We start from the raw sequence: 11,138 nt of genomic DNA, 5'->3' as shown, positions 1-11,138 counted from the left end.
GAGTGGGAGAGAGGGACTTTGAGAGGACCCTGGGTAGGGGCTCATCCCAGGGTGAGGAACAGCGATCTGTGAGGGGCCCTTCCTGCCAGCGAAGATTCCAAGATGGGTTTTTACACGGACCAGGTTCTGCCTGCAATAAAGCCCATCCACAGATGAGACTCTCCCCTGGAATGGAGGATGGGCAGGTTGAAAAGGGCCCAGGGGGTGCCAATGAAAGGACCAAGACCCATATACAACAGGCCTGCTGTGCCCCTGCCTCCCTTAGAGAAAGGCCTGGTCCCTCTTCTTTTCTTCTACCCACTCCCGCCCAGCTGAATGGTCCCCTGTCACTTCCTCCCCATCAGTCCTTTTAAACAACATTCCACCGAGATAGGGTGAGTGCGCCCCCTACTGGACCCCGGGGCCGTTCAGGGATGGAGGACGTGAGCTGCGGAAAGGAGCTAGGCATTCTGCCAAGTGCTGGCTTTGAGACAGTGCAGACTGCGGGGACCCGGCTCCCTCCTCTGGACCCCTGTTCCCTCCCCCAGTCTTCTTCCCTCGACGTTCCACACCCGATTTCTTTCAAATGTCCCTGCACAAGCTGTGGCTCCCAAGCCATCACTATCCCAATCACTTGTCCAGATCTGCAGGTGCTGAACTCCTTGCTGCCTCGGGGCCTTTGCACTTGCTGTTCCTGGAGCCGGGGAGGGTTTTCCCTGAAACACTTTCCTTCAGGGCTCACATCAAATGTCAGCTCCTCAGGAGGCCTTCTCTGACCACCCAGGCTGGGTCAGGGCCCCCATAGGTTGTTCTTTGGGCACTCAGGTTTTTCCTTTAAGGCCAAGTCATGACTTCAATTACAAATGAAGGAGGTAACAAGTAATTCAGAGTCAGTCTCCCCAGAGAGGCCTCTCCAACTTCATAAACATAAGCTGGATCTTGACGGATGAGTCGTTTGGCAGGAGTTGAGCAGAGAAGAGCATGCCAAGAAGAGGGAACAGCTTGAATGATGGCTCAGAGGTGCTGTCAACTCTCTTTCCCTATAGATATGAATGAGAAAATACCCTATAGATAAGAATGTCAAAGGTATGGGGTCTCGTTCCAGGACTCGTGAAGGAGGATGCTGGGAAGAGCATCTTAGGGGTTACAGGGACTAGCACAGGGGTTCCGCTTTAGGTAGGAAGAATAGAGAAGGCCTTTTGGCCTGAGGAGGTGACAGTCCCATGCCCCACTGTGCCTGCAGCTTCTCCCATGGTGCCTGCCTTTTCTAGTGTTTAATAGACCATATGCTGGAACAGGGACGAGAGACTGACTAAAGTTGGTTTCCTTGACCTCAGTCTCCCTCCAGCTTCCACCTCTTTTAGCTGCTCATAGTGAAATCCCCTCTCTCTGTCTCTGTTTCCTGTTTCCTGTTTCCTTTCCTTTCTTTTTCTTTTTCTTTCTTTCTTTTTTTTTTTTTTTCTGAGACAGAGTCTCGCTCTGTTGCCCATAATGTATTCCTGCTAAGGCTTTGATCCCCAGCAAGATGCTGAGATGGCTCTTGCTAAGATCTGACACCATCATTTGCAACTTTGAAGATTATCTGATGTGTCAACTCCTGGTTTCTTGTTTTCTTTCCACTTTCTCTTCTTTTCTTTCTTTCTTTCTTTCTTCCTTCCTCCTTCCTCTCTCCTCCCCTTCCCTTTCCTTTCCTTCCTTTCCCTTCCCTTCTCCTCTCCCCTTCCCTTTCCTTCCCTTCCCTTCCCTTCTCCCCCTCCCCTTCCCTCCCTTCCCCTCCTCTCCTTGCTTTCTTGCTTGCTTTCTTTGATAGTGTCTTGCTCTGTTGCCTAGACTGGAGTGCAGTGGCAAGATCATAGCTCAATGTTACTTCAAACTCCTGGGCTCAAGCATCTTCCCGCCTCAGGCTCCTAATGTTTTCTTTTCTTTACTGGGCTTCTAGGATGCCACGTTTTCCTGGTTTTCCTCCTACTTCTCTGCCTTCTCAATCCTTGCCTACCTTCTTTTCTGCTCAGCTACCAAAGGGCAGTGCCTCATAGCTCAGTCTTAAGGTCTCTTGGCTTCTGTCTACATTTGCTCCTTCTCTCCAAGGTGATCTCATCCACAATTATAGCTTGAGATGCCATTTTAGAATCATCATTCCTACACCTGTGTGCCTTGCTCTTGGAAGCTCTTGCATGGATCCAACTGTCCACTTGACCTCTGCACTTGGATGTCTAATTAGCCTCTTAATGCAGGAAGATCTAAAGCAACTTCTGTTTCTCTTCTCACTCAACCCTGAACCTGTTCCCACCCCACCCCAGTCTATGCTTCAGCTAAAGGTATGACCAGTCACCCAGTGACTTGGGCTAGAAGTCGAGAAGTGCCCCTGAATGCCTTGTTTCCCTCACCCCCACATTCGATCTATCTCCATGCCCTGGCTCTACCTTCGAAACCTGTTTTGACCCATCAGTCAACAAGTGGATAAAGAAAATGTTTTATATATACATATATATATGAAAATGTGATATATATACATATATATAAATGTGATATATATACATATATAAATGTGATATATATACACATATGTATATATAAATGTGGTATATATATATACACACACCATGGAATACTACTCAGCCATGAAAAGGAATGAAATAATGGCATTTGCAGCAACCTGGATGGAGTTGGAGACCATTATTCTAAGTGAATAACTCAAGAATGGAAAACCAAACATCTTATGTTCTCACTTCAAAGTGGGAGCTAAGCTATAAGGATGCAAAGGCATGATACAATGGGGACTTGGGGGGAAGGGTGGGAGGGGGTGAGGGATAAAAGACTACACATTGGGTACAGTGTGCACTGCTCGGATGATGGGTGCACCAAAATCTCAGAAATCACCGCTAAAGAACTTATTCATGTAACCAAACATCACCTGTTTCCCCAAAACTATTGAAATAAACAACAACAAAAAACAAACCTGTTTTGAATCCAGCCACTTGTCACCATCTTCAATGTTAGAGCCCTGGTCCAAGATACCATCATTTTTCACCTGGACCCTCTCAGGGGCTTGCTGACAGGTTCTCCTGCTTCCTCTCCTACTGCTTTTTCCACTATGGCATCCTCCTCCCAATCCTATCCTTTAAAAAGTGGCCTGAGTGTGCTTTCCGAAACATGAATATCCCAGAGGTATCCCGACACCTAGACTGGAACCTCAAACCTTCGTCATAGCCTGGCCCTGCCCACCTCCATGGTCCCATCCCCTGTAAGTTTCCCACCATCCACTATCCACATCTAGTCCCAAGGAGGTTTTAGACATATCAAGGTGAATCTCATTATAGGATCTTTGCACAAGCTGCTCTTACTACCTGGATGTCTCTTCCCCGGTGTCTTCAAATAATACCACCTCCAAGAGGCCCTCCTTAACTGCACATCCCATCATTCATCACTGTTCCATTACCTGGCTCAATTTTCTTCAGGCACTTATTGCTGTCTGGTAACATTCGTTATGGGTTTACTGTCTGTCTATAACAATAGATGAATGTCTATCTTGTATCCTGCTTTGTCTGGGCAGCTAGATCTGTGTCTGGCACACAGTAGAGGCTCAAAAAACATAGAAAGAAGGGAGAGAGGAAACCCCCAAAGTGTAGTTTAGGGCAATCTCTGGGGCTCCATAAGAGACCAAAAAGCCCATATGACAGCTGCCAATCTTGGTTCCTTAATCTTAAATGACTCCTGATGGGAGTGATGATTCACTATCTGGAATTCTTCTCTTCTCCCCAGTCTTTCCTTCTTCGTTCTTAAGAGTAGTCAGACTAATGTCCACCCAAGGCAACTGTTAACCTCCCAAACCCACAGCCACTATAGATAGATTTAGTGTGACCTTACAGAATTCTCCAGTATCTATCATTTTATACTTGAGTAACTACAAAGGCCAACATAGAGCGTTCCAAAAATGAAGAAACTTGGCTCTAAATGATATAGTGACAATAATAACTATATTTTGGGGCTATCGTTTTGTGCCAAAAAAGATTTTAAATGCTTTCAATGCATTTCCTCATTCGATCCTCAGAAACGCTCCTTGAAGTTGTTGAATCAATTATCTGTTACTGCATAAAAAACCACCTTAAAATGTAGTGGCTTAAAAGAACAACTATTTTTTTTGGCCCATAATTCTGTAGGCCAGCAATTTGGATTGGGCTCAGCTGGGTGGTTCATTCGCTGATCTCCCTGGGGTTGCTCATGTGCAATCATCCAGCAGCACAACTGGGGCTAAGATGGCCTCACTCATGTGTCTGGTGGCTGCTGCTGAAAGTCAGCTGGGACACGTGTCTCCAGCAGGCCAGCCTGGGCTTCTTTCACATGATGGCAGAGCTCCACAATAGCAAGCCTTATGACATTTTTCAAGCCGTCACTTGAGTTGTGTTTGTTGATGTCCCATTACCAAAGGAAGTCACATAGCCAAGCCCAGAGTCAATGTGAAAGGAGACCACACAAGGGAAAACTTGTTTATTAGGACCAGTACCAAGCAATCTACCACAGAGGTTAGAACTTTATTTTATTTTATTTATTTATTTATTTTTGAGACGGAGTCTTGCTCTGCCGCCCAGGCTGGAGTGCAGTGGCACGATCTTGGCTCACTGCAAGCTCTGCCTCCCAGGTTCACGCTATTCTCCTGCCTCAGCCTCCTGAGTAGCTGGGACTACAGGCGCCCACCACCACGCCTGGCTAATTTTTTCTATTTTTAGTAGAGATGGGCTTTCACTGTGTTAGCCAGGATTGTCTCGATCTCCTGACCTCGTGATCCACCTGCCTTGGCCTCCCAAAGTGCTGGGATTACAGGCATGAGCCACCGCGCCCGGCCAGAGGTTAGAACTTTATTATCCATGTTTTACAGGTGAGGAAACTGAGGATCAGAAAGGGCAAGAAATCTGCTCCATTACCCAGAGTTACTAAAGGCAGAGGGGAACAGAAATCCTTTGCTCACAGCCTCAGTATCTCCACTGTCTTCCAAAGGCAATTAAGTCCTCACCTGGAGGAACCAAGACACCGCCTTGTGAAATGGCAAGATGTCAAGTTCATCTTTGACTGAGCTCTCAGCTGCATGTCTTTTATTACAGTTAGCCAAAATTACATTAGCTTAAGTCACCTAACCTGTTTGTTCTGCAGATTTCTCATCTGTAAAGTGGGTTTGTAACAACGCTCTTACTTTTCCTTCCCTTCATTTCACAGGTGTTGATCTTGGCTGGGCAAGATGGGTGACTCACGTCTGTAATCCCAGCACTTTCGAAGGCCAAGGCAGGCAGATCACTCGAAGTCAGGAGTTTGAGACCAGCCCCGCCAACATGTCAAAACCCCATCTCTACTAAAAATACAAAAATTAGCCGGGCATGATGGCACACGCCTGTAATCCCAGCTACTCGAGAGGCTGAGGCAGAAGAATCGCTTGAACCTGGGAGGCAGAGGTTGCAGTGAGCTGAGATCGTGCCACTGCACTCCATCCTGGGTGACAGAGTGAGACTCTGTCTCAAAACAAACAGACAAAAAACCCACAGGTGTTGATCTTTTCTTATCATTTTGTTTATTGTCTGTTCTTGCTTACTAGCTTCTTGAGGGCTGGGGTTGTTGCCTAGCAGTTCTAGGCACTGCTGTATCTCCAGTGCCTAGAACAGTGCCTGGGATATACTAGGTGCTCAGTAAATATTTCCTGAATGAACAAATAAATAGATGAATGAGGGATTTGGAGTAGCAGGTGGGAGAAATCAGGGAAAAAAAATAGACTTGTGGCATGGAGAAATCTTTAAAGAAATCCCTAAAAGCCCCTGGCTTCTCTTTGCTGCCTAAAATGGATTGCAAACCACCACCCACTGGTCTTCACGCACAGTGATGAGCCGTGCCTCCCCGTAAAGTCTAACAGGTGGGGGCCAGGGGCTCACCTCTCTATGTGGTCTTCAGGGACCCAGTCCCCTTCTACCTGTGGCTCTGCCCTCCTCTAGGTCCTCAGTGTCCCCTCCATTCAGCTAGCAGATGGGGAAAGACGGAACAAGTCTTGCTCAGGGGATGGGGGAACTGAGGGAGTGGGAAGTATTTATGGGCCAGGTTTGAAAGAGTCTCACATCCTATTGGCTAGAACTTAGTCACATGGCTGCAGCTAGCTGCAAAGGAACCTGGGAAATGTGTTGCTTTGGCTCTGGAAGAAGAGGTGATAGGTTTGGTGAACATCTAGTCAGTCTCTGCCATGACTGCTGTTTCTAGCCCAGAGATTTGATAATCTTAGAATTTTCCATTTCATGGGACCAGGGGAGTGGGGAGGCACTCACTTTCCTTACACCTCTCTACTTTTCCTCACCCCCCTCACCTAATAGCATGTGTCACTTCTAATGTAATTTACACATTTATTAAGCCTCTTGTTTATTGTTGGTCTCTCCTCACCAGGATGTGCCTCCCAAGGGCAAAGGGCTTTCTGCAGTTCATTCACCACTGCCTCCTTCACACTGGGACGGTGCCTGGCATGTAGTAGGCACTCAATATGATATTGATCAAAGAAATTTAATTCCATATCTTGGTTATTGTGAATAGTGCTACAATAAACATGGGAGTGCAGATATATCTTTGATATATTGATTCCTGTTCTTTAAGAATTACTGGATCATATGGTAGTTCTATTTTTAGTTTTTGAGGAATCTCTATACTCTTTTCCATAGTGGCTATACTAATTTACATTACCACCAACAGTGTGCAAGCGAGCATTCCCCTTTTTCCCTATCTTTGCCAGCATCCATGATTCCCAGCCTTTTTGATGAAAGCCATTTTAACTAGGGTAAGATGATATCTCATTGCAGTTTTGATTTGCATTTCTTATGATCAGTGATGTTAAGCGTATTTTCATGTATCTGTTGGCCATTTGTAGGGTCTTCTTTTGAGAAATGTCTATTCAGATCTTTTGCCCATTTTTAAATAGAATTATTATTATTATTATTTTGCTATTGAATTGTTTGAGCTCTTGATACATTCTTGAGCTCAGGAGTTTGAGACCAGCCTGGCCAACGTGGTGAAACCCCGTCTCTACTAAAAATACAAAAATTAGCCAGGCATGGTGGCGGGCACCTGAAATCTCATCTACCTGGGAGGCTGGAGAAGGAGAATCACTTGAACCCAGGAGGCAGAGGTTGCAGTGAGCCGAGGTCGTGCCACTGCATGCCAGCCTGGGTGCCAGAGCAAGACTCGGTCTCAAAAAAAAAAAGTGTGGTTTGTATACACAGTGGAATATTATTTAGCCATAAAAAGAATGAAATCCTGTCATTTTCAGCAACATGGATGGAACTGGAGGCCATCATGTTAAGGAAATAAGCCAAGCACAGAAAGACAAATATTGCGTATTTTCACTCATACGTGGGAGTTAAAAGAAGTAGATCTCGGCTGGGCGCAGTGGCTCACACCTGTAATCCCAGCACTCTGGGAGGCCGAGGCGGGTGGATTGCCTCAGGTCAGGAGTTTGAGACCAGCCTGACCAACATGGTGAAATCCCGTCTCTACTAAAAATACAAAAATTAACCAGGTGTGGTGGCATGTACCTGTAGTCCTAACTACTCGGGAGGCTGAGACAGGAGAATCGCTTGAACCTGGGAGGTAGAGGTTGCAGTGAGCTGAGATCGTGACAGCACACTCCAGCCTGGGTGACAGAGCAAGACTCTGTCTCAAAAAAAAAAAAAAAAAAAAAAGTAGAGCTCATGAAGACGGAGAGTAGATTGGTGGTTACCAGAGGCCAGGAAAGATACAGGGGGAGGAGGAATGAAGAGAGCTTGATTGGTAGGTACAAATATACAATTAGATAGAAAAAATAAGACCTAGTGTTTGATAGATTAGTAGGGTGACTATAGTTAACGTTAATCTATTGTACATTTCAAAATAGCTGGAAGAGAATAATTACAGCATTCCTATCATGAAGAAAATGTGAATATTTAAGGCAATGGGCATCCAATTACCCTAATTTGATCTTTACAAACTATACGTATCAAATGATCACATGTACCCGCTCAAGTATGTACATCTATTACATATCAATAAAAAAAAATTCAATAATGAAAGAAAGTTGAATGAATGAGGGATGTGGAACCCTGGCTTGCAGTCCAATTTCCAGAGCACGTTAGGTCCTAGATAGATAGATGTCTCTCCTCTGCCTGCTGGGAAAGCCGTGGAGGGGCAGAATTCCCCACCCCAGGATGCCGGACCTTTCTGGACAAGGCCCCAGACTCCATTAGAGCCGAGAAGCTTCCTCTGGACAAGAGGTCATGGTGCCGTGTCACTTACATGCTGTCCTCTTCCACAGGGCAGCCTATTCTTCCAGTCTCTTTTCCACCCAGGATCTGATTGTTTTTCACGTAAGACACAGAAAGGAGGCCGGGCGCGGTGGTTCACGCCTGTAATCCCACCACTTTGGGAGGCTGAGGTGGGTGGATCATCTGAGGTCAGGAGTTCGAGACCAGCCTGACCAACATGGTAAAACCCCGTCTCTACTAAAAATACAAAAAATTAGCCAGGCGTGGTGATGTGGACCTGTAATCCCAACTACTTGGGAGGCTGAGGTACGAGAATCGCTTGAACCCGGGAGGCAGAGGTTGCAGTGAGCGGAGATCGTGCCACTGCACTTCAGCCTGGGAGACAGAGCAAGACTCTGACTCAAAAAACAAACAAACAAACAATAAAAACCACACACACAGAAAGAAGCCTGGTTCCTTTTTTCCAGTTTTGAAGGATAAACACAATTATCAGGTAGCAGCTTTTGAGTGTCCAAGCTTTAGAGTCATCCAAGGGACATTTCCTTTTTCTTTTCTTTTTCTTTTTTCTTTTTTTTTTTGAGACAGGGTGTTGTTCTGTCACTCAGGCTGGAGTGCAGTGGTGAAATCATACCTCACCATAGCCTTGACCTCCCAGGCACAAGTGATCCTCCCACTTCAGCCTTCTGAGTAGCTGGGACCACAGGCATGCATCACCACATCTGGCTAATTTTTTTTTAATTTTTGGTAGAAACAAGCTCTCACTATGTTGCCCAGGTTGGTCTTGAACTCCTGGGGCCAAGTGATCCTCCCGCTTCGGCCTCCCAGAGTTCTGGGATTATAGGCATGAGCTATTGCACCCAGCCCCGTCCCTCATTTTCAAGAGGAGACAAAGTTCAGAGAGGTGAAAGGACTTGGCCAAAATTGCCCTGTGCACTGGTGACTGAGAATGCCAAGCCGGCGCTGCACATCACATTCCCAGAGGAGAAGGCCTCTAGGTCCCCATCCCCACTCACTCCCCTCCTTGGATCAAGCACCAGGGATGCCTGTGGACAGGAGAAGGGGCAGCTGGGGTACAAGGAAAGAAGAGGTAGCTTGAAGTAGGGAGAGGAGATGACACAAGACCACTGTGAACTCCGGCTTGAAGCACACCTATGGGGTTTGGGGAACAAGGTGGAGGCAGCAGACAGAGATGGTGGCCCTAGGGTGTCTATGAGAGGATTCAGAGACACCCTAGGGCCACCGGCCTAGACTCTGGCCTCGGCTTGGCAGGTGGAGAAACAACATCGCCCTGGGCTGGGCGCGGTGGCTCACGCCTGTAATCCCAACACTTTGGGAGGTTGAGGCAGGGGGATCACGAGGTCAGGAGTTCGAGGGCAAGCCTGGTCAACATGGTGAAACCCCGTCTCTACTAAAAATACAAAAATTAGCCAGGCATGGTGGTGCGTGCCTGTAGTCCCAGCTACTCGGGAGGCTGAGGCAGGACAATCACTTGAACCTGGGAGGCGGAGGTTGCAGTGAGCCGAGATCGTGCCACTGACTCCAGCGTGGACAATAGAGTGAGAATCCATCTCAAAAAAAAAAAAAAGAAAAGAAAAGAAAGAACGTCACCCTGACTTGTCACTCCTGAGGCTTTTGAATCCTTATAGGGGCCCTACTCCTTCCCCAACCTCCGCAGAAGGAGCTCTCACCAGGAGCTGGGCCCACCCACCTCTGCAGCCCTGATGTAGCAAAGACACTAATAAGCATGAAGGGAGCAGGCACCCCTGGACCAGCAGTCAGGGAACCCTGGCTCCATCATTTCAAATCTTGACTAAGCACCTACTGCATGCCAGGCACTGTCTTCCCAAGCCTGGATGTGTAACTCACAGGCTTTCTATTCCAATGGGGGAATCTGCTGATGAACAAGGAAGCAAAGACATGATCAAGATTATTTCAGATGGTGACAGTGTGGTGAAGACAATAAGCACAGGAAGGGGACAGAAGGGGCCGGATGTGTCAGGACTGCTTCAAGTGGAGGGAGAGGGTGGAAACAAGGAGGGCCTCTCTGAGGAATGACATTGGAGCTGAGATCCGTGTGTGGGAAAGAAGCAGCCACACAAAAATATGAGGGCCGAGTAGTCCTGGCATAGGAATGACAAGTGCTAAGGCCCTGAGGCAGAAATGAGCTTGGAGTGTTGGGAGAAAAATGCTGGGTGAGGACGGTGGGAGGAAGAACAGAAAGTGAAGCCCTATCCTTTTGCTGTTAACTCCCTTGAGGTTTGAGTACAACCCACTTCCTAACTTGGCCTCTAAACTCTGGGCATCTGTGAGCTTAAATAAACCTTTCTCTGGGAGGCTGAGGTGGGAGGATCACCTGAGCTCAGGAGGTCAAGGCTGCAGTGAATTATGATCACGCCACAATACTCCAGTCTGGGTGACAGGGCAAGACCCTGTCTCAAAACGAACAAACAAACCTTTCTTGGACAAGTTTCTACTTTTATTTTAACAGTTTTTGTAAAGGAAACAGGACATTCGTCAAGGAGTCAGCTAGCTTAAATTCTGGCCGCAGCTTTTTCAGTAGCAATTTGTATGACTTTGGACAAGTCCCTTTTCTTATCTGTAAACCAGGGGATTGGATCACAAGTTCTAAGGGCTCTTCCAGCTGAGACATGGGGCACCAGGAATTCATGTAAAACTCTTCTTGATCCTATGTATTTTCAGCTTGATATGTTCTGCTTATGTCTGCTCCTTCTTGCAGGAAGCACGCATGCAACAATCACGTAGTAGACATTTTTGAGAACAGGAGACAATCGGAACATACATTAAGAGGGAACGGTCTAATACATTGTGCAGCTATTCAAAGAAGAATGAGCTGGGCGTGGTGGCTCATGCCTGTAATCCCAACACTTTGGGAGGCTGAAG

The 11,138-nt window shown here is 46.9% G+C and overlaps 1 annotated feature.

Annotated features, from left to right (window-relative positions):
- Positions 343 to 412: a silencer, noted in NCBI's record as "silent region_365". NCBI's record gives its function as "represses an Ori minimal core promoter by ATAC-STARR-seq in GM12878 lymphoblastoid cells {active_cell/tissue: GM12878}" and the evidence as "EXISTENCE:reporter gene assay evidence [ECO:0000049][PMID:35858748]".

This window comes from Homo sapiens, chromosome 1 (assembly GCF_000001405.40).
Source record: "Homo sapiens chromosome 1, GRCh38.p14 Primary Assembly".
Taxonomy (NCBI): Eukaryota; Metazoa; Chordata; class Mammalia; order Primates; family Hominidae; genus Homo; species Homo sapiens.
The sequence above is the reverse complement of the archived record's forward strand: the minus strand, read 5'-3'. Positions and strand labels throughout refer to the sequence as shown.